General features: G+C 50.4%; 1 protein-coding gene, 1 long non-coding RNA gene and 3 pseudogenes across 11 annotated transcripts in view; 3 read left to right on the top strand and 2 right to left on the bottom strand.

The window, feature by feature from the left end:
* Nucleotides 1-8829, top strand: part of PKD1P6 (polycystin 1, transient receptor potential channel interacting pseudogene 6) — a 29735-nt pseudogene extending 20906 nt beyond the window's left edge.
* PDXDC1 (pyridoxal dependent decarboxylase domain containing 1) overlaps nt 1-27625 on the bottom strand; it is a 178484-nt gene that overhangs the window by 19251 nt on the left and 131608 nt on the right. The window lies entirely within an intron of this gene.
* Nucleotides 2367-27625, top strand: part of PKD1P6-NPIPP1 (PKD1P6-NPIPP1 readthrough) — a 26879-nt pseudogene continuing 1620 nt past the window's right edge. Inside the window, exons 1-14 of the transcript NR_123722.1 lie at nt 2367-2881; nt 3177-3333; nt 3514-3766; nt 3891-4086; nt 5579-5746; nt 5833-5976; nt 6071-6281; nt 6372-6498; nt 8161-8277; nt 14914-15042; nt 19397-19525; nt 23147-23246; nt 23410-23554; nt 26531-26638. The product of NR_123722.1 is annotated as a PKD1P6-NPIPP1 readthrough, transcript variant 2 (transcript). The remainder of the gene's footprint in view (nt 2882-3176; nt 3334-3513; nt 3767-3890; nt 4087-5578; nt 5747-5832; nt 5977-6070; nt 6282-6371; nt 6499-8160; nt 8278-14913; nt 15043-19396; nt 19526-23146; nt 23247-23409; nt 23555-26530; nt 26639-27625) is intronic.
* The window catches only part of NPIPP1 (nuclear pore complex interacting protein pseudogene 1), a 19183-nt pseudogene continuing 2027 nt past the window's right edge, over nt 10470-27625 (top strand).
* LOC100505915 (uncharacterized) overlaps nt 24771-27625 on the bottom strand; it is a 14787-nt gene continuing 11932 nt past the window's right edge. Inside the window, exons 3-4 of the long non-coding RNA NR_125434.1 lie at nt 26801-27006; nt 24771-26540 (exon numbers count right to left, since the gene is read on the bottom strand). This is a non-coding gene — a long non-coding RNA (uncharacterized LOC100505915). The remainder of the gene's footprint in view (nt 26541-26800; nt 27007-27625) is intronic.

The following is a 27625-nucleotide window of genomic DNA, read 5'->3' as shown; positions in this document are numbered from 1 at the left end:
GGACGGCGAGGGATACACCTTCACGCTGACGGTGCTGGGCCGCTCTGGCGAGGAGGAGGGCTGCGCCTCCATCCCCCTGTCCCCCAACCGCCCGCCGCTGGGGGGCTCTTGCCGCCTCTTCCCACTGGGCGCTGTGCACGCCCTCACCACCAAGGTGCACTTCGAATGCACGGGTGAGTACAGGCCTGCTTAGGGGGAGCAGCGGGATCCCCCGACTGTGACGTCACGGAGCCCTCCCGTGATGCCATGGGGACCGTCCCTCAGGCTGGCATGACGCGGAGGATGCTGGCGCCCCGCTGGTGTACGCCCTGCTGCTGCAGCGCTGTCGCCAGGGCCACTGCGAGGAGTTCTGTGTCTACAAGGGCAGCCTCTCCGGCTACGGAGCCGTGCTGCCCCCGGGTTTCAGGCCACACTTCGAGGTGGGCCTGGCCGTGGTGGTGCAGGACCAGCTGGGAGCCGCTGTGGTCGCCCTCAACAGGTGAGCCAGGCCGTGGGAGGGCGCCCCCGAGACTGCCACCTGCTCACCACCCCCCTCTGCTCGTAGGTCTCTGGCCATCACCCTCCCAGAGCCCAACGGCAGCGCAATGGGGCTCACAGTCTGGCTGCACGGGCTCACCGCTAGTGTGCTCCCGGGGCTGCTGCGGCAGGCCGATCCCCAGCACGTCATCGAGTACTCGCTGGCCCTGGTCACCGTCCTGAACGAGGTGAGTGCAGCCTGGCAGGGGACCTCACATCTGCTGCATGCGTGCTGGGGACCAAGACCTGTACCCCTGCCTGGAGCTTTGCGGAGGGCTTATCCCGGGCCCCAGAGATAAATCCCAGTGACCCTGAAGCAGCACCCCGACGTTCCGCTCCCAGCAGCCACACCCACCGGGCCCTCTCCGGCGTCTGCTTTCCACAATGCAGCCCCCGCCCAGGAGGGCCCATGTGCTTACCCTGTTTTGCCCATGAAGAAACAGCTCAGTGTTGCGGGTCAATGCCCACATCACACAGCATCTAGCACGTAACTGCACCCCGGGAGTCGTGGGCATCTGCTGGCCTCCTGCCGGTCTCCTGCCCTGCTGACAGCTTGCTGTGCCGCCTGCCTGCCCCAGTACGAGCGGGCCCTGGACGTGGCGGCAGAGCCCAAGCACGAGCGGCAGCGCCGAGCCCAGATACGCAAGAACATCACGGAGACTCTGGTGTCCCTGAGGGTCCACACTGTGGATGACATCCAGCAGATCGCTGCTGCGCTGGCCCAGTGCATGGTAGGATGGCCCCACATGCTCACCCCGCCCCGCATGCCTGCCAGGGTACTGGGTTCAGCCCCCCAGGGCAGACGGGCAGCTTGGCCGAGGAGCTGAGCCTCCAGCCTGGGCTCCTTCATGCCATGGCGTTCCTCGGTCTCTGACCTGCTTCAGTAGCCTCAGCCTTTCTGCTGTCCTGTGTGAACGCAGGGTGCCTCTCGGGGGACCCAGGGTGTAAAGAGGGGCCCAGATGTGGGGAGGGACTAAGAAGATGCTGTTCTGTGCCTTCCACTCTCCCCTCCCCTCCCCCTTCCCTCCCCTAGCCCCTCCCCTGCCCCTTCCCTCCCCTAACCCCTCCCCTCCCCCTCCCTCCCCTTGCCCCTCCCCCCTCCCCTAGCCCCTGCCCCCTCCCCTCCCCTCCGCTAGCCCTTCTCCTCCTCCCCTCCCCTAGACCTTCCCCTCACTTCCTCCCGCTGAGCCCCTCCACTCCTCCCCCAGCCCCTCCCTCCCCTAGCCCCTCCCCTCCCCCTTCCTCCCCTCCCCCTTCCCATCCTTATCCCCCTCCCCCAATTCCCATTCTCCTCCCCCTCCCCCTTCCCTATTACCATCCCTTTTCTCCATCTCTCTCCCCTTTTCTCCATTTCCCCCCCGATCCTCCCCGTCCTTTTGTCCATTCCCCTCATCTTTCTTATCCCCCTTATCCTCCTTCCCCTCCCTTATCCCCTTATCCCCCTTCCCCTCCCTTATCCCCCTGCTCCTCCTCTTCTCCCCTTTCTCTTTTCTCTACCCTTTTCCTTCCTTTTTCCTCCCTCTCCCCATCATCCCCCTCATCTTCGTCCTCATCCCCATCCCCTTCCCCCTCCCCCCTCCACCACTCTCTCTCCAGCTTCCCCCTTTCTTCTGCCTGCACCTCGCTCTCTGCCCCCTCAGGTTCCCCCTTTCTCCCAGCCCCCACCCTCCGGCTCCCCCTTTTTGCCTGCCCCCACCCTCCCTCTGCCTCCCTGTCTCTGCACTGACCTCACGTCTGTCTGCAGGAGACCTCATCCACCTGGCCAGCTCAGACGTGCGGGCACCACAGCGCTCAGAGCTGGGAGCCGAGTCACCATCGCGGATGGTGGCGTCCCAGGCCTACAACCTGACCTCTGCCCTCATGCGCATCCTCACGCGCTCCCGCGTGCTCAACGAGGAGCCCCTGACACTGGCGGGCGAGGAGATCGTGGCCCAGGGCAAGCGCTCGGACCCGCGGAGCCTGCTGTGCTATGGCGGCGCCCCAGGGCCTGGCTGCCACTTCTCCATCCCCTAGGCTTTCAGCAGGGCCCCGGCTAACCTCAGTGACGTGGTGCAGCTCATCTTTCTGGTGGACTCCAATCCCTTTCCCTTTGGCTATATCAGCAACTACACCGTCTCCACCAAGGTGGCCTCGATGGCGTTCCAGACACAGGCCGGCGCCCAGATCCCCATCGAGCGGCTGGCCTCAGAGCGCGCCATCACCGTGAAGGTGCCCAACAACTCGGACTGGGCTGCCCGGGGCCACCGCAGCTCTGCCAACTCCGTTGTGGTCCAGCCCCAGGCCTCCGTCGGTGCTGTGGTCACCCTGGACAGCAGCAACCCTGCGGCCGTGCTGCATCTGCAGCTCAACTATACGCTGCTGGACGGTGCGTGCAGCGGGTGAGGCACACGCGGCCCCCTGGCCTTGTTCTTGGGGGGAAGGCGTTTCTCGTAGGGCTTCCATGGGTGTCTCTGGTGAAATTTGCTTTCTGTTTCATGGGCTGCTGGGGGCCTGGCCGGAGAGGAGCTGGGGGCCACGGAGAAGCAGGTGCCAGCTCTGGTGCAGAGGCTCCTATGGCCTTTCAGGCCCGTGGCAGAGGGTGGGCTCAGGAGGGCCATCGTGGGTGTCCCCCGGGTGGTTGAGCTTCCCAGCAGGCGTGTGACCTGCGCGTTCTGCCCCAGGCCGCTACCTGTCTGAGGAACCCGAGCCCTACCTGGCAGTCTACCTGCACTCGGAGCCCCGGCCCAATGAGCACAACTGCTCGGCTAGCAGGAGGATCCGCCCAGAGTCCCTCCAGGGTGCCGACCACCGGCCCTACACCTTCTTCATTTCCCCGGGGTGAGCTCTGCGGGCCGGCCTGGCAGGGCAGGGCAGGGCATCATGGGTCAGCATTGCCCGGGTTACAGGCCCTGTGGGGACGGCAGGCAGCGAGGGGACTGGACCGGGTATGGGCTCTGGGACTCCGATATCCAACCTGGCGGAGCCTGGGCTCACGTCCACTGCCCCTTCCCTGCCCAGGACCAGAGACCCAGTGGGGAGTTACCGTCTGAACCTCTCCAGCCACTTCCGCCTGTCGGCGCTGGAGGTGTCCGTGGGCCTGTACACGTCCCTGTGCCAGTACTTCAGCGAGGAGGACGTGGTGTGGCGGACAGAGGGGCTGCTGCCCCTGGAGGAGACCTCGCCCCGCCAGGCCGTCTGCCTCACCCGCCACCTCACCGCCTTCGGCGCCAGCCTCTTCGTGCCCCCAAGCCATGTACGCTTTGTGTTTCCTGTGAGTGACCCTGTGCTCCTGGGAGCCTCTGCAGAGTCGAGGAGGGCCTGGGTGGGCTCGGCTCTATCCTGAGAAGGCACAGCTTGCACGTGACCTCCTGGGCCCGGCGGCTGTGTCCTCACAGGAGCCGACAGCGGATGTAAACTACATCGTCATGCTGACATGTGCTGTGTGCCTGGTGACCTACATGGTCATGGCCGCCATCCTGCACAAGCTGGACCAGTTGGATGCCAGCCGGGGCCGCGCCATCCCCTTCTGTGGGCAGCGGGGCCGCTTCAAGTACGAGATCCTCGTCAAGACAGGCTGGGGCCGGGGCTCAGGTGAGGGGCGCGGCGGGGTGGCAGGGCCTCCCCTGCTCTCACTGGCTGTGCTGGTTGCACCCTCTGGGAGTGAGTCTCATCGCAGACGTCAGAACAAGGCAGTTTTTGCAGTGCTGTGTGAAGGGCTCGTGTGTTCATCCTGGGAATGACCTCGTGAGCACTCACTGTCCCTGAGGACTAGGACAGCTCCTAGCTGGAAGTAGGTGCCAGTCAGTCAGGGTGGGCAGCCCACATTCTGCACAGTAGCGTGGCCCCACAAGTGACATGAGCATCGCTACCACTGTGGGAGACCGTGCATCCACCCGCGATCCTGACTGCATAGCTCGTCTCTCAGACGGAGGCGCCAGCACCCTCCCCGTGGCTGTTTCTTCAATACCTCTATTTTCCTTTCATTGGAATTGCCCTTCTGGCATTCCCTTTTTGTTTTCGTTTTTCTTTTTTTGGAGACGGAGTCTCGCTCTGTTGCCCAGGCTGGAGTGCAGTGGCGTGATCTTGGCTCACAGCAACTTCCAGCTCCTGGGTTTAAGCGATTCCCCTTAAGCGATTCTCCTGAGTAGCTGGGAGTACAGGTGCACGCCACCACACCCAGTTAATTTTTCACCGTGTCAGCCAGGCGAACTCCTGACCTCAGGTGATCCGCCTGCCTCGGCCTGCCAGAGTGCTGGGATGACAGGTGTGAGCCACCACACCTGGCCGTGTTCCCATTTTTTATTTCCGTGCTGCTTTTATCTTCATTTCCCAGTTCTTTCTTTTGATTACCTACTTTTAAAAACTGTCGGCCGGGCGCGGTGGCTCACACCTGTAATCCGAGCACTTTGGGAGGCCGAGGCAGGCAAATCACGGGGTCAGGAGATCGAGACCATCCTGGCTAACGGTGAAACCCTGTCTCTACTAAAAAATACAAAAAAATTAGGCCGGCGTGTTGGCAGGCGCCTGTAGTCCCAGCTCCTCGGGAGACTGAGGCAGGAGAATGGCGTGAACCCGGGAGGCGGAGCTTGCAGTGAGCTGAGATTGCGCCACTGCACTCCAGCCTGGGTGACACAGCAAGACTCCATCTCAAAAAAAAAAAAAAAATACTGTCACCTGGGTCTGTCACTGGGAGAGGAGGTGACACAGCTTCACGCTTTGCAGTCTATGCATGAACTGAGGGACGGGTGTGTGGTGCGGGTCACTGGTTGTGGCGTGACTGAGGCGTGGACAGGTGTGCAGTGCGGGTCACTGGTTGTGGTGTGGACTGAGGCGTGTGCAGCCATGTTTGCATGTCACAAGTTACAGTTCTTTCCATGTAACTTAATCATGTCCTTGAGGTCCTGCTGTTTATTGGACAAATTGCAGTAACCTCAGCTCCTCGTGTATGGCAGAGCCGTGCAAAGCCGGGACTGCCTGTGTGGCTCCTTGAGTGCGCGGAGGCCAAAGCTGAGATGACTTGCCTGGGATGCCACACGTGTTGGGCAGCAGACCGAGCCTCCCACCCCTCCCTCTTGCCCTCCAGGTACCACGGCCCACGTGGGCATCATGCTGTATGGGGTGGACAGCCGGAGCGGCCACCGGCACCTGGATGGCGACAGAGCCTTCCACCGCAACAGCCTGGACATCTTCCGGATCGCCACCCCGCACAGCCTGGGTAGCGTGTGGAAGATCCGAGTGTGGCACGACAAAGGTCTGTGCGGACCCTGCCAAGCTCTGCCCCTCTGCCCCCGCGTTGGGGCGCCCTGCGAGCCTGACCTCCCTCCCGCGCCTCTGCAGGGCTCAGCCCTGCCTGGTTCCTGCAGCACGTCATCATCAGGGACCTGCAGACGGCACACAGCACCTTCTTCCTGGTCAATGACTGGCTTTCGGTGGAGACGGAGGCCAACGGGGGCCTGGTGGAGAAGGAGGTGCTGGCCGCGAGTAAGGCCTCGTTCCATGTTCCCACTCCGTGGGAGGTTGGGCAGGGTGGTCCTGCCCCGTGGCCTCCTGCAGTGCGGCCCTCCCTGCCTTCTAGGTCACGCAGCCCTGTTGCGCTTCCGGCGCCTGCTGGTGGCTGAGCTGCAGTGCGGCTTCTTTGACAAGCACATCTGGCTCTCCATATGGGACCGGCCGCCTCGTAGCTGTTTCACTCGCATCCAGAGGGCCACCTGCTGCGTTCTCCTCATCTGCCTCTTCCTGGGCGCCAACGCCGTGTGGTACGGGGCTGTTGGTGACTCTGCCTACAGGTGGGTGCCGTAGGGGTCGGGACAGCCTCTTCCTGCCCAGCCCTTCCTGCCCCTCAGCCTCACCTGTGTGGCCTCCTCTCCTCCACACAGCACGGGGCATGTGTCCAGGCTGAGCCCGCTGAGCGTCGACACAGTCGCTGTTGGCCTGGTGTCCAGCGTGGTTGTCTATCCCGTCTACCTGGCCATCCTCTTTCTCTTCTGGATGTCCCGGAGCAAGGTGGGCTGGGGCTGGGGACCGGGGAGTACTGGGAATGGAGCCTGGGCCTCGGCACCATGCCCAGAGCCGCCACTTTCCAGTGCTGCAGCCAGAGGGAAAGGCGTCCACCAAAGGCTGCTCGGGAAGGGTCAACACACTTGAGCAGCCTTAGCTAGACTGACCAGGGAGAAAGAGAGAAGACTCAGAAGCCAGAATCGTGAAAGAACGAGGGCACTTCGCTAAGCAGACGCCACGGACAACTGCACAGCAGCACGCCAGATAACTCAGAAGAAGCAAGCACGCGGCTGTGCACGCTTCCGAAATGCACTCCAGAAGAAAATCTCAGTACGTCTATAGCAAGTGAAGAGGCCGAGTTAGTCCCTTAGAAACCTCCCAGTGGCCGGGCCGGGTGTGGTGGCTCACGCCTATAATCCCAACACTTCAGGAGGCCGAGGTGGGCGGATCTGAGTCCAGGAGTTTGAGACCAGCCTGGGCAACATAGCAAGACCACATCTATATAAAACATTAAAAAGGACCAGGCACGGTGGCTCACGCCTGTAATCCCAACACTTTGGGAGGCCGAGGCGGGCAGATCAGTTGAGGTCAGGAGTTCGAGACCAGCCTGGCCAACACAATGAAACCCCGTCTCTACTACAAATACAAAAACTTAGCTGGGCATGGTGGCGGGCGCCTGTAGTCCCAGCTACTCGAGAGGCTGAGGCAGGAGAATGGCATGAACCCAGGAGGCGGAGCTTGCAGTGAGCCGAGATTGCGCCACTGCACTCCAGCCTGGGCAACGGAGCAAGACTCCATCTCCAAAAAAAAAAAAAAAAAATCCCACAAAGAAAAGCTCAGGCTCAGAGCCTTCACGATAGAATTTTTCTAAGCAGTTAAGGAAGAATTAACACCAATCCTTCACAGACTCTTTCCAAGAATACAGCAGGTGGGAACTCTTCCCATTCATACGGAAACGGGAGGCCGCACCCCTTAGGAATGCACACGTGGGGTCCTCAAGAGGTTACATGCAAACTAACCCCAGCAGCACACAGAGAAGGCGCATAAGCCGCGACCAGGAGGGGTTGCTCCCGAGTCCGTGGCAGGAACCAGAGGCCACATGTGGCTGCTCGTATTTAAGTTAATTAAAATGGAACGATGGCCGGGTGTGGTGGCTCACACCTGTAATCCCAGCACTTTGGGAGGCGGAGGCGGGCAGATCACTTGAGGTCAGGAGTTCCAAGACCAGCCTGGCCAACACAGTGAAACCCCGTCTCTACTAAAAATACAAAAAATCAGCTGGGCATCGTGGCAGGCACCTGTAATCCCAGCTACTCAGGAGGCTGAGCCAGGACAATCGCCTGAACGCGGGAGGTGGAGGTTGCAGTGAGCTGAGATTGCGCCAGTGCACTCCAGCCTGGGTGACAGAGCGAGACTCCATCTAAGAAAAAAAAAAATGAAATTGAAAACTCTGTTCCTTAGCTGCACCAGTCTGCTGTCAAGTGTTCAGTGGCACACGTCGCGAGGGGCTGCCATCACGGACGGTGCAGATGTCCCATATATCCAGCATTCTAGGACATTCTGTCAGATGGCACCGGGCTCTGTCCTGTCTGCTGAGGAGGTGGCTTCTCATCCAGGTCCTGAGCAGGTCTGAGCTGCCGCCCGCTGACCACTGCTGTCGTCCTGCAGGTGGCTGGGAGCCCGAGCCCCACACCTGCCGGGCAGCAGGTGCTGGACATCGACAGCTGCCTGGACTCGTCCGTGCTGGACAGCTCCTTCCTCACGTTCTCAGGCCTCCACGCTGAGGTGAGGGCTCTACTGGGGGTCCTGGGCTGGGCTGGGGGTCCTGCCGCCTTGGCGCAGCTTGGACTCCAGACACTGTGCACCTCTCAGCAGGCCTTTGCTGGACAGGTGAAGAGTGACTTGTTTCTGGATGATTCTAAGAGGTGGGTTCCCCTAGAGAAACCTCGAGCCCTGGTGCAGGTCACTGTGTCTGGAGTACCGGGGGTGTGCGGGCTGCGTGTCCTTGCTGGGTGTCTGTGGCTCCATGTGGTCACACCACGTGGGAGCAGGTTTGCTCGGAAGCCCAGGGTGTCCGTGCGTGACTGGACGGGGGTGGGCTGTGTGTGTGACACATCCCCTGGTACCTTGCTGACCCGCGCCACCTGCAGTCTGGTGTGCTGGCCCTCCAGCGAGGGAACGCCCAGTTGGCCGGACCTGCTCAGTGACCCGTCCATTGTGGGTAGCAATCTGCGGCACAACCCCCACTTACTGGGTCTCTCCTTTTACAACCAACACAACCGAAATCTAGGGCTTCTTTTTTTTTTTTTTTTTTTTTTTTTTTTGAGACAGAGTCTCATTCCATTCTGTCACCCAGGCTGGAGTGCAATGGTACGATCTCGGCTCACTGCAACCTCCGCCTCCCGGGTTCAAGGGATTGTCCTGCCTCAGCCTCCTGAGTAGCTGGGGTTACAGGCGTGTGCCACCATGCCTGGCTAATTTTTGTATTTTTGGTAGAGACGGGGTTTCAGCATGTTGGTGAGGCTGGTCTCGAACTCCTAACCTCGTGATCCGCCTGCCTCAGCCTCCCAAAGTGCTGGGATTACAGGCGTGAGCCACCATGCCCAGCCAAATCTAGGGCTGGAACATGGCTGCAGCATATAAAAAGAATTGAATTCCATACTTTTGTTAACCCTGTTTTTTGTTTGTAGTTGTTGCTGTTTTTGAGACAGAGTCTCGCTCTGTCGCCTAGGCTGGAGTGCAGTGGTGCAATCTCGGCTCACTGCAGACTCTGCCTCCCGGGTTCAAACTGTTCTCCTGCCTCAGCCTCCCAAGTAGGTGGGACTACAGGCGCCCACCACCGCACCCGGCTAATTTTTGTATTTTATTAGACACAGGGTTTCACCATATTGGCCAGGCTGGTCTGGAACTCCTGACCTTGTGATCCGCCCACCTCGGCCTCCCAAAGTGCTGGGATTACAGGCGTGAGCCACCACCCCCAGCCCCTGTTTTGTTTTTGTTTTGCTTGTTTCTTAGGGTTGTTTTTCTATTTATGGTAAAGGCATTGGCTTTCTATTTGTAGCATCAATAGAATATTTCCTGTTTACAATAACCTTATGTCATAGTAAATGGTAAAGGGATTTAAAGCAGTGGTTTTCAGCTGCCAGAGGCCTGAGAGAGTTTGGGCACACTCTGTGTGATTGGGCAGAAGGCCTGTGGGAAGTTTAGCTGAGGACAGGGCCAGGAAAGGTGATGGACAGTGGGGGTCTGTCCTGGTCACCAGGCCCCTGGGTCCTGCCCACCTGCTTGGAGCTCCCCACCCATCACACATGATGCGGCCAAGCCCTCTGGGTATTGTGGGCAAACACCTTAGGAGAGAAGCTGATGAACTTTGTTTCTTGAAATGCATAGATTCCTTGGACGTCCCTGAGAGGCCAGTCATGAAAGTCAGCTTGGTTTTCTCCCCCTCATTTGGGTTCAGAATTTAAAGTCCACACACACGGGCAGTAAGATGATATAGATAAGGACATCATCACTCGGTTTCGGATGTTAAAATGTCTAGGTGGGTTAGGGGTGATTTGAGATCACACAACCTTGTGCCACAAAGAGGAATTCCCAGGCCAGAGGGAGACATTTTATTGCCATGTTATGATCTCATCATTGAGTTGAAAGGCAATCTTGTTTCATTTTGGATTCTTTCTTATGTTTATGTCTTATAAGGGCACTTTGAATTTCCAAGCAAATAATAATTTTGAATTAGCTTTTAATCATTGACTTCTAGCACAGTTATATGATCAGAAACATGCTGTGTGATTTGATTGCTCTCAAATATATTGAGATTTGCTGGAACAAAATAAGTCAGGTTAATTTTTGTAAATGTACCATGCATGCTTAAAATGAATGTATGTACATTTGTTCCTGAGATACAGGTTGATGGACGGATGGCTACATGGATGTGATGGAGATGGTTTACTATCGGGACCTTCCGCATCCTGCTGATGTTTTGTTGCTTAGGATATGAATGGCTGAGCGGAGGCTGTAAAACCTGGCACTCTGCTTGGGTATGAGGTTCTTCCTGCCATCCTGCCATCATTTGTTTTTTATGTTTTGTCACCAAAAGTGACCTTGAGGAACCCTGGGAGCTCAGGAAGGAAGGAGCGCCCAGAAGCAGGGACAGGGAGCTGGTTGGGGTGGACCAGAAATCAGGTTTGTGAAGGTTCCAGAGAGGACCTGGTCTTGGGAGGAGCGTGGGGGACTGAGATGGGGGAGGGGTCATTGGGATGATGCGGGCGCTACTTGGAATGTCCATTGTGAGGCACCACCGGGGTCATCAGGGATTGGTGGAGAGAGAGTCTAAAGCCCCAGGGTTGCTAAGGGAGGGCCCAGACCGAAGAAGGTTTGGTGGAAAGCAGAACCTTTGTCTCCCTCTAATTGCTCCTAAGCCTCACGCTCCCTTGCCCCGCGTGTCCTGTTGCTTCCCTGATCTTCTCCGTGACCTGTAGCTAAACCTTCCACCAGCGCTTGAGAACTTAATTTGAACCGGATCCTTTCCCAGACCCCTTTCTTCTTCTCCTCCTCCTCCTCCACCTCCTCCAGGTACCCAACAGCCCCCTTCTCCTTTCCCTTCCCTTACTCCCCCCTTCCCCTCCCCTTCCCCTCCCCTTCCCCTCCCCCTCCCCAACTCAGATCCCGCCCAGTCCCCGTCCCCTTCCCTCCCCCCTGCCCTAAGCCACCTCCACCTCTGTCCTGGCCACCTCCGGGCGCCCTGAAAGGACCAGGACATGCGGGTGCGGTGGCTGCTCTTTTGGCTTCTCTTTTGGCTCCTGCTGGGATTTATCAGCCATCAGTCCACCTGTGTGAGTAGATGGGTGCTGTGGCTGCTCTTTCGGCTCCTGCTGGGATTTATCAGCCATCAGTCCACCTGTGTGAGTAGACGCTGGACCCGCGGGGTTTCTTCCTTTTTACTGGGCTGTGTCACGCGGCATGAAATTACACAGCTCAGGCCTGTAATCCCAGCACTTTAGGGGGCCGAGGTGGGCAGATCACTTGAGTCCAGGAGTTGAAGACTAGCCAGGGCATCATAGCGAAACCCCATCTCTACAAAAAATTCCAAAAAAGATTAGTCGGGCCTGGTGGTGCGTACCTGTTATCCCAGTTACTGGAGAGGCTGAGGTGGGAGGATCGCTTGGGCCCAGGAGCTGGACGTTGCAGTGAGCCGAGATGGCCCCGCTGCACTCTTGTCTCTAACAAACAAAACGGACCAAAACAAAGTGAAATGTCATTTGATTTGTGTCATCTGGTTTGATGACTTTTTTGTTTGTTTGTTTGTTTTTTAGACAGAGTCTCACTCTGTCGCCCAGGCTGGAGTGCAGTGGCAAGATCTCGGCTCACTGCAACCTCCGCTTCCGGGGTTCAAGCAATTGTCCTGCCTCAGCCTCCTGAGTAGCTCAGATTACAACGCCTGGCTAATTTTTGTATTTTTAGTAGACCACCACGCCTGGCTAATTTTTGTATTTTTAGTAGAGACTGGGTTTCACCATGTTCGCCAGGATAGTCTCCATCTCTTGACCTCGTGATCCGCCTGCCTCGGCCTCCCAGTGCTGGGATTACAGGCGTGAGCCACCGCGCCTGGCCAAAATATATAACCTTAAGTGTAAGTTTACTAACTTTGGAAAGTACATACACCAGCATAAACCAACCCCCTTTCAAGATCTACATTATTTTATTTATTTATTTATTTATTTGAGACAGTTTCTCCCTTGTTGCTGAGGCTGGAGTGCAATGGGCCAATATCAGCTCACCGCAACCTCTGCTTCCCAGGTTCGAGCGATTCTCCTGCCTCAGCCTCCCGAGTGGCTGGGATTACAGACATGTGCCACCACTCCCAGCTAATTTTGTATTTTTAGTAGAGATAGGGTTTCTCCATGTTGGTCAGGCTGGTTTTGAACTCCCGACCTCAGGTGATCCGCCCGCCTCGGCCTCCCAAAGTGTTGGGATTACAGGCGTGAACCACCGTGCCCAGCCAAGATCTACACTATTATGTCACCCCAGAAAGTGAACTCTCACTCTTCCCAGCCAGTCTCTTTCTTATCATAGGTTAGCTTGCTTATTCTGGAATTTCACGTATACAGATGCATGCCATGCCATAGGTACTCTTTTGTGTCTGCTTTGTTCTGCTCAACACCATATTTCTGAAATCATTACCATTGTTGTATGGTTCTCTAACTCCATCATTTCCATTTCAGACTCAGCATATGCTGAGTTCAACCTGTTGAAGGGCTATCTCTGTTTAATTCACCATCTTGAAAGAAACATTTAAAATTGAGATGTTTTCAAGAATATATAGTTAAATCCTGAGGAATCGATGTAGAAATGTTATCAGAAGCTGTCTGAACTTACTCAGGGGAAGTCTTCGTCTTCACTCACATAAGAGTCTAATGGAATTAATATCAACAATCTTAGAGAAATCCCACACTATTCATGCCATTTTCATGATCTCCACCTCGGTAATTTTTTTTTTTTTTTCTTTTTTTTGAGACAGAGTCTCGCTCTGTCACCCAGGCTGAAGTGCAGTGGTGCGATCTCGGCTCACTGCAACCTCTACCTCCCAGGTTCAAGTGATTCTTCTGCCTCAGCCTCCCAAGTAGCTGGAACTATAGGCGCGTGCCACCATGCCCTGCTAATTTTTTGTATTTTTAGTAGAGATGGGTTTCACCGTGTTAGCTAGGATGGTCTCAATCTCCTGATCTCATGGTCCACCCACCTTGGCTTCCCAAAGTGCTGGGATTGCAGGCGTGAGCCACCACGCCCGGCCCACCTTGTTAATTTTTAAGCACTAAAATTCGATACTTATTTGTGAATGAAGTAATCTCTTCATTGTATTTTTTTTTTTTTTTACTTATGCTGAGCTTTAAATGACAAAGATTCATATAATCCAAGAGAGAAGTATTATTTAGAGGGATTCTTTTACCATGTGATATATAATAAATGCATCCAATGTTATACATCAATTTAAAAAACAAGTAAATAACTAAAGAAAAGATAACTACTGGCCAGGTGCAGTGGCTCACACGTGTATTCCCAGGACTTTGGGAGGCCGAGGCAGGTGGATCATGAGGTCAGGAGTTGGAGACCAGCCTGGCCAAGATGGTGAAACCGTTTCTACTAAAAAGACAAAAATTAGCCGAGCGTGGTGGCAGGCGCCTGTAATCCCAGTTACTCAGTAGCTGAGGCAGGAGAATCGCTTGAACCCGGGAGGTGGAGGTTGCAGTGAGCTGAGATCATGCCACTGCAATCTAGCCTGGGTGACAGAGCAAGACTTTGTCTCAAAACAAAAAGAAAAGATAAGATAATTACTTTATACTTAGCTTGTCTTACCCATGAGTGACGGGCTGCATGTGGCCCAGGACAGTTTTGAATGCAGTTCAACACAAATTTGTAAACTTTCTTAAAACATTAGGAGATTTTGGCCAGGTACAGTGGCTCATGCCTGTAATCCCAGCACTTTGGGAGGCTGAGGCGGGCAGATTACCTGAGGTCAGGAGTTCGAGACCACCCTGGCTAACATGGCAAAACCCCATCTCCACAAAAAATACAAAAATTTGCTGAGTGCACTGTCAGGCACCTATACTCCCAGCTACTCAGGAGGCTGAGGCAGGAGAATCACTTGAACCTGAGAGGCAGAGGTTGCAGTGAGCCAAGAGCACACCACTGCACTCTAGCCTGGGTGACAGAGTGAGACCCCATCTCAAAAACAAACAACAAACAAAAAGAAAAAAAATGGCTGGGCACGGTGGCTCACACCTGTAATCCCAGCACTTTGGGAGGCTGAGGCAGGCAGATCGCCTGTCAGGAGTTCAAGGCCAGACTGGGCAACATGGTGAAACCTCATCTCTACTAAAAATACAAAAATTAGTCGGGCATGGTGGCAGAGACCTGTAATCTCAGCTGCTCGGGAGGCTGAGGCAGGAGAATGGCTTGAGCCCAGGAGCTGGAGGTTGCAGCGAGCCGAGATTGCACCACTGCACTCCAGCCTGGGCGACTGAGTGGAGCAGAACTCTGTCTCAAAAAAAAAAAAAACAAAAAAAATTTTTTTTTTTTAGATCATCAGCTATTGTTAGTGTTAGTGTATGTTATGTGTGGCTCAAGACAACTTTGCTTCTTTTAATATAGGCAGGGAAGTCAAAAGATTGGATATCCCTGCTTTATACCAAGAAAGACAACACCCCACATTTGCAATGCCTAAAAACACTACCAGCCATCTGAAAAACATGAGACTTCTCTAACTTCTGTTCTTTTTTGTAGCAGTGGAATCCCACGGTGATATCTGAGGGATGTGGTTACCTTTTGGAGGAGGTTGACGGTTTCTAAGGATGATTCTTTCTGAGTGAAATATTGTCAGTGTCATTGACCTTTTCATTATTTCAACTATTATTATTCCAGGTTATCAATACTCTGGCTGACCATCGTCATCGTGGGACTGACTTTGGTGGAAGTCCTTGGTTACTTATCATTACTGTGTTTCTGAGAAGTTATAAATTTGCCATCTCCCTCTGCACAACTTACCTTTGGGTGAGTATACTAACTTTCTGTAGAGGTATACTTGTAATCACAAATAAGAATAAATTATATGAAACACTTCACGTTTCTGGACTTCATTATGAATATGTGGTTTTACCCAAAAAATCAGGGAAATGATTTATTAGCATAAGAATTATGAAAATATCTGCCATTTACATTATGAAAATTAAATAGGTCGGTGTTTAATAGAATGTCAACAGAGCTTTTGGTCAAAAATAAGTTTTTTTAACCTTTGTGCTATTTGTCACAAATGGAGTATGAGGTTTCGTCACTTAAATGAGAAAGTCTTTCTAAACTATTCTGCTTTATAGTTCTATCGTATGGGTGGAAGGAAAGCTTCCAATCTCCTCTCTGAAGATTCACTGCAGAAATGAGCTGACAACAGACAGCTTAACAGGAAAAGAAAAACATAGAACAGGCATAAACATGGGAACCAGCTGAAAAATGAGACTGCTAGAAGGGCTGGATGGTTGATGCTTAAAGAGCACCCTCTTCTGAGGGGAGAGGGAGATAGATGGAGATGTAGGCCATTTAGAGGGGCAGCAAATGATTTTTAGGGGAAATGAAAGAGCCCAAGGAACAAACAGTTGGCCTGAGACAAAGTTCCTCTGAGGTCATAGGGACGAGGTGACAAACTGCCGGAAGGTGAAGGGCAGAACTGCACTGCGTCTCATGATGCAGAGAAAGCCCCAGAGAATCTCTTAGAACTGCCCTCCAAGAGAATCAATGAAAAGTGTGTCTGGGCAGGGTAATTTTGAATGACATCATTCAAAGTGCATGTTCCCACTTGCAACTGGAGAGAGATCAGTATGTCAAAAGTCTGTACTTGGTAAGAATTTGGCTGCTAAGTTGTGGCATAATTTGTCTTTTGAGCCTTTTTTCCTTTGGGTAAGTTGAGCTCTACATTTTGTCTTGCCACTCATGACAGTAAAAATGTGGTTGTGTGGGGGCTGAACCTCCTTCTGAACAATGATCCAAGATAAAAGTACTAATACCACAATGCTTTTTGATATTCAAGGGAAGAGGAAGTATGTTTCAGTTTTACCACCTAGATAATTACACGTCATTTGGCACTGCCTTTCAAGATATGTGGAAAACAGAAAATATATGAGTTATGAAGATATCTAGGCACATTTAACATTCTCTATGCCACTTAGTCCTGAACAGAGAATTTTTGGTATAAATTGGAGGAAGCTTTTTTTTTTTTTTTTCTTTTCTCACCCCCAAGACGAGTCTCCCTCTGTTGCCCAGGCTGGAGTATAATGGTGTGATCTCGGCTCACTGCAACCTCCACCTCCTGGCTTCAAGTGATTCCCCTGCCTCAGCCTCTCAAGTAGCTGGGATTACAGGTGCCCACCACCATGCCCAGCTAATTTGTGTATTTTTAGTAGACCACCACGCCTGGCTAATTTTTGTATTTTTAGTAGAGACTGGGTTTCACCATGTTCGCCAGGATAGTCTCCATCTCTTGACCTCGTGATCCGCCTGCCTCGGCCTCCCAGTGCTGGGATTACAGGCGTGAGCCACCGCGCCTGGCCAAAATATATAACCTTAAGTGTAAGTTTACTAACTTTGGAAAGTACATACACCAGCATAAACCAACCCCCTTTCAAGATCTACATTATTTTATTTATTTATTTATTTATTTGAGACAGTTTCTCCCTTGTTGCTGAGGCTGGAGTGCAATGGGCCAATATCAGCTCACCGCAACCTCTGCTTCCCAGGTTCGAGCGATTCTCCTGCCTCAGCCTCCCGAGTGGCTGGGATTACAGACATGTGCCACCACTCCCAGCTAATTTTGTATTTTTAGTAGAGATAGGGTTTCTCCATGTTGGTCAGGCTGGTTTTGAACTCCCGACCTCAGGTGATCCGCCCGCCTCGGCCTCCCAAAGTGTTGGGATTACAGGCGTGAACCACCGTGCCCAGCCAAGATCTACACTATTATGTCACCCCAGAAAGTGAACTCTCACTCTTCCCAGCCAGTCTCTTTCTTATCATAGGTTAGCTTGCTTATTCTGGAATTTCACGTATACAGATGCATGCCATGCCATAGGTACTCTTTTGTGTCTGCTTTGTTCTGCTCAACACCATATTTCTGAAATCATTACCATTGTTGTATGGTTCTCTAACTCCATCATTTCCATTTCAGACTCAGCATATGCTGAGTTCAACCTGTTGAAGGGCTATCTCTGTTTAATTCACCATCTTGAAAGAAACATTTAAAATTGAGATGTTTTCAAGAATATATAGTTAAATCCTGAGGAATCGATGTAGAAATGTTATCAGAAGCTGTCTGAACTTACTCAGGGGAAGTCTTCGTCTTCACTCACATAAGAGTCTAATGGAATTAATATCAACAATCTTAGAGAAATCCCACACTATTCATGCCATTTTCATGATCTCCACCTTGGTAATTTTTTTTTTTTTTTTTTTTTTTGAGACAGAGTCTCGCTCTGTCACCCAGGCTGAAGTGCAGTGGTGCGATCTCGGCTCACTGCAACCTCTACCTCCCAGGTTCAAGTGATTCTTCTGCCTCAGCCTCCCAAGTAGCTGGAACTATAGGCGCGTGCCACCATGCCCTGCTAATTTTTTGTATTTTTAGTAGAGATGGGTTTCACCGTGTTAGCTAGGATGGTCTCAATCTCCTGATCTCATGGTCCACCCACCTTGGCTTCCCAAAGTGCTGGGATTGCAGGCGTGAGCCACCACGCCCGGCCCACCTTGTTAATTTTTAAGCACTAAAATTCGATACTTATTTGTGAATGAAGTAATCTCTTCATTGTATTTTTTTTTTTTTTTACTTATGCTGAGCTTTAAATGACAAAGATTCATATAATCCAAGAGAGAAGTATTATTTAGAGGGATTCTTTTACCATGTGATATATAATAAATGCATCCAATGTTATACATCAATTTAAAAAACAAGTAAATAACTAAAGAAAAGATAACTACTGGCCAGGTGCAGTGGCTCACACGTGTATTCCCAGGACTTTGGGAGGCCGAGGCAGGTGGATCATGAGGTCAGGAGTTGGAGACCAGCCTGGCCAAGATGGTGAAACCGTTTCTACTAAAAAGACAAAAATTAGCCGAGCGTGGTGGCAGGCGCCTGTAATCCCAGTTACTCAGTAGCTGAGGCAGGAGAATCGCTTGAACCCGGGAGGTGGAGGTTGCAGTGAGCTGAGATCATGCCACTGCAATCTAGCCTGGGTGACAGAGCAAGACTTTGTCTCAAAACAAAAAGAAAAGATAAGATAATTACTTTATACTTAGCTTGTCTTACCCATGAGTGACGGGCTGCATGTGGCCCAGGACAGTTTTGAATGCAGTTCAACACAAATTTGTAAACTTTCTTAAAACATTAGGAGATTTTGGCCAGGTACAGTGGCTCATGCCTGTAATCCCAGCACTTTGGGAGGCTGAGGCGGGCAGATTACCTGAGGTCAGGAGTTCGAGACCACCCTGGCTAACATGGCAAAACCCCATCTCCACAAAAAATACAAAAATTTGCTGAGTGCACTGTCAGGCACCTGTACTCCCAGCTACTCAGGAGGCTGAGGCAGGAGAATCACTTGAACCTGAGAGGCAGAGGTTGCAGTGAGCCAAGAGCACACCACTGCACTCTAGCCTGGGTGACAGAGTGAGACCCCATCTCAAAAACAAACAACAAACAAAAAGAAAAAAAATGGCTGGGCACGGTGGCTCACACCTGTAATCCCAGCACTTTGGGAGGCTGAGGCAGGCAGATCGCCTGTCAGGAGTTCAAGGCCAGACTGGGCAACATGGTGAAACCTCATCTCTACTAAAAATACAAAAATTAGTCGGGCATGGTGGCAGAGACCTGTAATCTCAGCTGCTCGGGAGGCTGAGGCAGGAGAATGGCTTGAGCCCAGGAGCTGGAGGTTGTAGCGAGCCGAGATTGCACCACTGCACTCCAGCCTGGGCGACTGAGTGGAGCAGAACTCTGTCTCAAAAAAAAAAAAAAAAAAAAATTTTTTTTTTTTTTAGATCATCAGCTATTGTTAGTGTTAGTGTATGTTATGTGTGGCTCAAGACAACTTTGCTTCTTTTAATATAGGCAGGGAAGTCAAAAGATTGGATATCCCTGCTTTATACCAAGAAAGACAACACCCCACATTTGCAATGCCTAAAAACACTACCAGCCATCTGAAAAACATGAGACTTCTCTAACTTCTGTTCTTTTTTGTAGCAGTGGAATCCCACGGTGATATCTGAGGGATGTGGTTACCTTTTGGAGGAGGTTGACGGTTTCTAAGGATGATTCTTTCTGAGTGAAATATTGTCAGTGTCATTGACCTTTTCATTATTTCAACTATTATTATTCCAGGTTATCAATACTCTGGCTGACCATCGTCATCGTGGGACTGACTTTGGTGGAAGTCCTTGGTTACTTATCATTACTGTGTTTCTGAGAAGTTATAAATTTGCCATCTCCCTCTGCACAACTTACCTTTGTGTGAGTATACTAACTTTCTGTAGAGGTATACTTGTAATCACAAATAAGAATAAATTATATGAAACACTTCACGTTTCTGGACTTCATTATGAATATGTGGTTTTACCCAAAAAATCAGGGAAATGATTTATTAGCATAAGAATTATGAAAATATCTGCCATTTACATTATGAAAATTAAATAGGTCGGTGTTTAATAGAATGTCAACAGAGCTTTTGGTCAAAAATAAGTTTTTTTAACCTTTGTGCTATTTGTCACAAATGGAGTATGAGGTTTCGTCACTTAAATGGGAAAGTCTTTCTAAACTATTCTGCTTTATAGTTCTATCGTATGGGTGGAAGGAAAGCTTCCAATCTCCTCTCTGAAGATTCACTGCAGAAATGAGCTGACAACAGACAGCTTAACAGGAAAAGAAAAACATAGAACAGGCATAAACATGGGAACCAGCTGAAAAATGAGACTGCTAGAAGGGCTGGATGGTTGATGCTTAAAGAGCACCCTCTTCTGAGGGGAGAGGGAGATAGATGGAGATGTAGGCCATTTAGAGGGGCAGCAAATGATTTTTAGGGGAAATGAAAGAGCCCAAGGAACAAACAGTTGGCCTGAGACAAAGTTCCTCTGAGGTCATAGGGACGAGGTGACAAACTGCCGGAAGGTGAAGGGCAGAACTGCACTGCGTCTCATGATGCAGAGAAAGCCCCAGAGAATCTCTTAGAACTGCCCTCCAAGAGAATCAATGAAAAGTGTGTCTGGGCAGGGTAATTTTGAATGACATCATTCAAAGTGCATGTTCCCACTTGCAACTGGAGAGAGATCAGTATGTCAAAAGTCTGTACTTGGTAAGAATTTGGCTGCTAAGTTGTGGCATAATTTGTCTTTTGAGCCTTTTTTCCTTTGGGTAAGTTGAGCTCTACATTTTGTCTTGCCACTCATGACAGTAAAAATGTGGTTGTGTGGGGGCTGAACCTCCTTCTGAACAATGATCCAAGATAAAAGTACTAATACCACAATGCTTTTTGATATTCAAGGGAAGAGGAAGTATGTTTCAGTTTTACCACCTAGATAATTACACGTCATTTGGCACTGCCTTTCAAGATATGTGGAAAACAGAAAATATATGAGTTATGAAGATATCTAGGCACATTTAACATTCTCTATGCCACTTAGTCCTGAACAGAGAATTTTTGGTATAAATTGGAGGAAGCTTTTTTTTTTTTTTTTCTTTTCTCACCCCCAAGACGAGTCTCCCTCTGTTGCCCAGGCTGGAGTATAATGGTGTGATCTCGGCTCACTGCAACCTCCACCTCCTGGCTTCAAGTGATTCCCCTGCCTCAGCCTCTCAAGTAGCTGGGATTACAGGTGCCCACCACCATGCCCAGCTAATTTGTGTATTTTTAGTAGAGTCGGGGTTTTACCATGTTGGCCAGGCTAGTCTCAAAACCCGACCTCAAATGATCCACCCGCCTCAGCCTCCCAAAGTGCTGGGATTACAAGCGTGAGCCACCACGTGAGCCAGGGGAAGTTTTTAAATTTACCACTTTTTAACAATTCCATTTAGGAAAGTTCAGTTGAGCTGTTGGACTTGGACAACTTTGTACCTCTCATCTTTGTCCTTGTCATCTAGTCATCTATACCATTACCTCCTAAGCAGGGACATCATGGGTGCCATGAAGCATTCATGTGTGATGGCATTTCTTTGCTTCTCATTTCTTCATGTGTTTGACATTTCTCCTAGCTCCAAACTGGGCCAGCTACCTTTCCTATGAAATCTAGCAGTAGCTGTGGGATAGACGTGGTTGCTCTTTTCATCTTTTTAGATTACCCATTGCTTCTCTCGAAATCCTAGTACATGATTTTTTTTTTATCCTATGTGCAGAAATCAGGAAAAAACAAATTCTACAAAGAATTTGAAAGATATTATTTCAGGCCAGGTGTGGTGGCTCATGCCTGTAATCCCAGCACTTTGGGAGGCTGAGGCAGGTGGATCACTTGAGGTCAGGAGTTCAAGACCAGATGGGCCAACATAGTGAAATCCCATCTCTACTAAAAAGACAAAAATTAGCCAGGCATGGTAGCAGGCACCTGTAATCCCAGCTACTTGGGAGGCCGAGGCACAAGAATCGCTTGAATCTGGGAGGTGGAGGTTGCCGTGAGCCAAGGTAGCGCCACTGCACTTCAGCATGGTTGACTGACACTCCGTCTCAAGAAAAAAGTCATTTCAATGACTACCTCAGGAGATTCATAGGTATCTGACCCACATCTGAGATGGGATTTGCTTTGCATTTTAGCTATGATGAGAACAAATACTTAATATCTGAGAAGATTAAAAGCATACTGTGATAATATGGAAATTTGGTGGGAATTCAGTCATTAGTGAGAATGTTTTGCGTAAAGTTCAAACCAGCCTCAACGAAGCTGATGTGAGGGAAGGGAAAGTGAACTCTGAGTAGAGCAGGGACAGAAGAAAGATGCTCCAGTGCAGATCAGGAAGGAGCAGGGGGTGAAATGTTACAAATTCTAGAACTCAGAGAGCTGAAGGTAATTAATTCCTTCCTTTTCAAGTTGTGAAACATGTTAACCTGTGGTAAAATACTTACAAGATGATAATTACCATCTAACCGTGTTGAAGTGTACAGTTCAGTTGTGTGAAGTATATTCATGTCATTTTTTTTTTTTTTTTTTTTTTTGAGACGGAGTCTCACTCTGTCACCAGGCTGGAGTGCAGTGGTGGGATCTTGGCTCACTGCAACCTCTGCCTCTTGGGTTCAAGCAGTTCTCCTGCCTCAGCCTCCGGAGTAGCTGGGACTACAGGCGTGCGCCACCATGCTCAGCTAATTTTTGTATTTTTAGTAGAGACGGGGTTTCACCATGTTGCCCAGGATGGTCTCCATCTCTTGACCTTGTGATTCACCCGCCTCGGCCTCCCAAAGTGCTAGGATTACAGGCGTGAGCTACCACACCTGGCCTATTTTTTTTTTTTTTTTTTTGAGACAGAGTTTGAATTTTGTTGCCCAGGTTGGAGTGCAATGGCACAATCTCAGCTCAACACAACTTTTTCCTGCTGGGTTCAAGTGATTCTCCTGCCTCAGCCTCCCGACTAGCTGGGATTACAGGCATGCACCACCATGCCTGGCTAATTTTGTATTTTTAGCAGAGACAGCGTTTCTCCATGTTGGTGAGGCTGGTCTCAAACTCCCGACCTCAGGTGATCCGCCTGCCTCGGCCTCCCAAAGTGCTGGGATTACGGGAGTGAGCCAACATGCCAGCCTCGTCATTCTTGTGTGTTTTGTGTGTGTGTGTGTGTGTGTGTGTGTGTGTGACAGAGTCTCATTCTGTCGCTCAGGCTGGAGTGCAGTGGTGTGATCTCCGCTCACTGCAACCTCCGCCTCCCAGCTTCAAACGGTTCTCTGCCTCAGCCTCCCGAGTAGCTCGGATTACAGGCGCCCACTGCCATGCCCGGCTAATTTTTGTATTTTTAGTAGAGATGGGGTTTCACCATCTTGGCCAGGCTGGTCTTGAACTCCTGACCCCGTGATCCACCCTGCCTCGGCCTCCCAAAGTACTGGGATTATACGCATGAGCCACCGTGCCCAGCCGTCATTCTTATATTATTATTTCCTAGGTGTCTTTCCTGAAGACTATCTTCCCGTCTCAAAATGGACATGATGGATCCACGGATGTACAGCAGAGAGCCAGGAGGTCCAACCGCCGTAGACAGGAAGGTATGGTTCTGTTGGAGTCCCCATAGTGTGGAAATGAGTTTGCCCTGGAAAGGGAAAGAACAGCTTCTTGCCCTCAGGTTTCTCACCTTCTCCTCTCCTCACTCTCACCAAGGGCTGAAGTCCATTTGTATGCACACAAAGAAAAGAGTTTCTTCCTTTCCAGGAATTAAAATTGTCCTGGAAGACATCTTTACTTTATGGAGACAGGTGGAAACCAAGGTTCGAGCTAAAATCCGTAAGATGAAGGTGACAACAAAAGTCAACCGTCATGACAAAATCAATGGAAAGAGGAAGACCGCCAAAGAACAGTAAGATGTGCCTTGACACAAATACTGTTGTATGAACCATGTGCCAATCAAAGTAGACAACTGTAAAGTCCTTGAGAATATTTTCTACAATATTTGTGGCAAATTCAGTGGGTTCAAAATTGAGTTTGTCCTTTCTGCTTCATTAGTTTAAGCTGTATAATTCCTTTCCCTTCCTACATTCTTGTTTGTCATTTTTTCAGGGGAAGAGGAGTTGCTAGTACTGGCATTGGTTTTCCTTTGTCTCTCTCTCTCTTTTTTTTTTTTTCCTGAGATGGGGCTTTGCTCGTGTTGCCCAGGCTGTAGTGCAATGGCACAATCTCAGCTCACTGTCTTTTGGGTTCAAGCAATTCTCCTGCCTCAGCCTCCCAAGTAGCTGGGATTACAGGTGCCCACCACCACGCCCAGCTAATTTTTGTATTTTTACTAGAGATGGGGTTTCACCATGTTGTCCAGGCTGGTCTCGAACTTCTGACCTCAGGTAATCCACCCGCCTCAGCCTCCCAAAGTGCTGGGATTAGAGGCGTGAGCCACCACACCCAGCCTTTTTTTTTTTTTTTTAAATTTTGAGATAGAGTCTCGCTCTGTCGCCCAGGCTGGAGTGCTGTGGTGCAATCTTGGCTCACTGCAACCTCTGCCTCCCAGTTTGAAGCAATTCTGCCTCAGCTTCCCGAGTAGCTTGGATTACAGGTGTGTGCCGCCACATTCGGCCAATTTTTTTTTTTTTTTTTTTTTTTTTTTTTTTTTTTTTTTTTTTTTTGAGACAGAGTCTCACTCTGTCACCCAGGCTAGAGTGCAGTGGCATGATCTTGGCTCACTGCAACCTCCGCCTCCCAGGTTCAAACGATTCTTATCCCTCAGCCTCTTGAGTAGCTGGGACTACAGGCATATGCCACCATGCCCAGATAATTTTTGTATTTTTAGTAGAGGCGGGGTTTCACCATATTGGCCAAGCTGGTCTAGAACTCCTGACATCATGATCCGCACACCTCGGCCTCCCAATGTGCTGGGATTACAGGCGTGAGCCACCGTGCCCAGCCCAATTTTTGTATTTTTAGTAGAGACGGGTTCACCATGTTGGCCAGGCTAGTCTTGAACTCCTGACCTCAGGTGATCTGCCTACCTCAGCCTCCCGGTGTGAGCCACCGCACCCAGCCTGGATTGTTGAATTCAATGCTTGGGTCACCTCCAGATTCATTTTCACAGTCTTTCATGTTTTGGTCATATTACATTGTATTTTGCTGCCCATATGACTGATCTTTTTTTGTTAAATGTGAGATACTTGTTAAAAAATATTTAGCAATGAATTGAGGCCTAGTAGCATGTTATCTTGCTGCAGAAGAGATGGGAGTCTACTTCTGGGGGATGGTCAGGGGTCCTCCATACAGGCTGCAATTGAGGTCGTCGGTGCAGGCTCAGTCCCTACAAAGGCCACGGTATTTCCTGTCCACCTCTATTCTGATGCATGACTCTTCTGGGTCTCAACCAGAGCCAGTGGACTTCAGTATGGGTCGCTTTCATTGGCAGACCCTCAATCCACTTGTTTTCCATCTAACCCCACGCATGTGTGCAAAAGCTGCTGTGCTTCTTTGCATCTCAGTAGTTCCTTCTGGAATTCAGCAATGAAACTCAGGGAAATGGGTTCCAAATGCGAGGCTGACTTTCGTCCTGGGTTTCCTTCTTCTCCATCTTCACCTCATGTCTGTTTACTGCCATGTTAGCAATTTGATGTATTCAATCATGGGTTTTATATTCTGTTTGGTGTCCCCCATTGTTCTCATCGGAGATCAGAAGCTTCAGATGCACTTATGTCAACTCAAGAGTAGAATGCTTCCTTAGCTTCCCTCCAGAGTCAGGTTTTGTGTTTCTAGTTCCCAAGTGCACAGCAGGAGTAGTGATGTCCTCACTGGCTTCTCATTTGCATTAAACTGTGAGCTTCTTTAGCGTGGGGACAGGACCCTGCTCCCATTGCATTGTCAGCACCTCACCACACACTCCTTGTTTGAGGCCACTCCAGACAGCATGTGCTGAAGGATGCCCTGTGGTCAGAAACAAGTTCATTAACTTTCTCTTTGAAGTGTTTTCGTCCCTGTTTCCTAGCGTTCTGGGAATTTTATACATCCTTCCTATAAAACCAAGTATCAGGTGAGATCCTTAGGATCAGGACCATGAATCAAGTGGTGTGAGGGCAACACAGCAAACTTACCCTTTTGAGGCCATTTCCTTTTTCTGCCCTCAATCTCTGTGAACTGAACCTTGTTAAAGTCAGTCAACACCAGGGTGGATGGTTTGCAGTTGTCACCTATTTTCAGGACATGACACCCTGACTTAGGAGCCATTCCGATCATTTCTAATTCAATAGATGCGCCCAGCATTCAGATTGCCTTTTCAGGATCTTTAAAGTCGATGACAAGAGTTCCAGTCCTGAATCATGGCAAAGTGCAGTAGTGAACTGCGGGGTTAATGACACCATATTCTGGAAGGATCTCTCTATGGCTGATGGTCTCAGTTCCAGCATCAGCCTCTGACTGAGAATCAGGTCTCACACAGGAGGAGTCAGATGAGGAGCAATCCTCTGCTTCCGATGGAGTTAGTTGTGATGAATTGGTGAGGTCTGGTTTTTCACACTGAACTAAAATGAGCTTTCGCTGTGTCAAGCACAAGACTGACCCCAGAGACACACATAGTGCACCTCATAGAAGCTTTTAATAGTCTTTATATTTACTAAAGAATAGGACTAACTATGGAACTATGAAGATGAGCTGGAAATGACAGGTGACTTGCCAGCAGGCCAGAGTGTGATTTTTTTTTTGTCCCTCAATGGGAGGTGTCCATTCTCCCTTTGCTTGTGAGAATCAGTTGGTTCATTTGTGGGAAGGTTGCAGGGGGGATCTTTGAATCAGCCTTCAGATGCCAGAAGGGCAGAGGGAATCCCACACGGGCTGGTGGATCATGTGTGTGCATTTCTCTCCCTTCTAGTCTGAGGAAACTAAGCATGAAAGAACGTGAGCACGGAGAAAAGGAGAGGCAGGTGTCAGAGGCAGAGGAAAATGGGAAATTGGATATGAAAGAAATACACACCTACATGTGAGTTCAGAAACTGAACCCCACCCTCTTGGGAAACGCCCATTGGAGTGTTGTTTTTAACCTTTGTACAATGTTTAGACCCAGTAAATGCAGAAATAGAAACAAATGGTCAGAAGACATATCGTGAGAGAGAGAGAGTTCACAAAACAGAAAACAAAGCACCTTAATATTTACCAGTGACCAAAAGATGTGAAGTAGCAAAACGGCTCCTGACCCCATTGCCAGCTAGACTGTGTGGAAACTCGGTTCATACCAGCCATTCTAGGGGTGGGGTGAGTTGTTGTCATCCTTAGGAAAGTGTGTTGTTGTAGGATCAACCACATCCTTCAAAAGGACTATTCCTGTTTATAAGCCCAGCTGTTTCTGCCCTGTGAAACACAGTAAAGATATTAATACAAAGAGAATACAGCTTTATGATAAAAGATGCTCAATGAAGGATGAATTAGGGATATACTGAGAATGGGGAAGGAAACTATCATCTCAGAAGTCAGCAGGCAGTAAGCAAGAGGAGGAATCAATATAGCAACAGTTTGGATCAGACTGTACAGTTTTTTTGTTTTTGTTTTTGTTTTTCTGAGATGGAGTCTTGCTGTGTCACCCAGGCTGGAGTGCAATGACGTGATCTTGGCTCACTGCAACCTCCGCCTCCCAGGTTCAAGTGATTCCCCTGCCTCAGCCTCCCGAGTAGCTGGGCTTACAGGTGCCTGCCACCACGCCCGCCTAATTTTTTGTATTTTTAGTAGAGACAGGGTTTCACTGTATTAGCCAGGATGGTCTCAATCTCCTGACCTCGTGATCCATCCACCTCGCCCTCCCAGAGTGCTGGGATTACAGGCATCAGCCACCGTGACCGGCTCAGACTGTACTCTTACAGCCATCTGAAATACGTTTTCTAGGTAGAGATAGATTGTGTAAGGGTACAGTTGTGAGGATAACAGAAACATGGCAGATTATTTAAAATCATCCTGAAAGTGGTGCTTTATCTGA

Source organism: Homo sapiens, chromosome 16 (genome assembly GCF_000001405.40).
Source record: "Homo sapiens chromosome 16, GRCh38.p14 Primary Assembly".
Lineage (NCBI taxonomy): Eukaryota > Metazoa > Chordata > Mammalia > Primates > Hominidae > Homo > Homo sapiens.
Note: the sequence above shows the minus strand (reverse complement) of the source record. Positions and strands in the feature narration are given on the sequence as shown.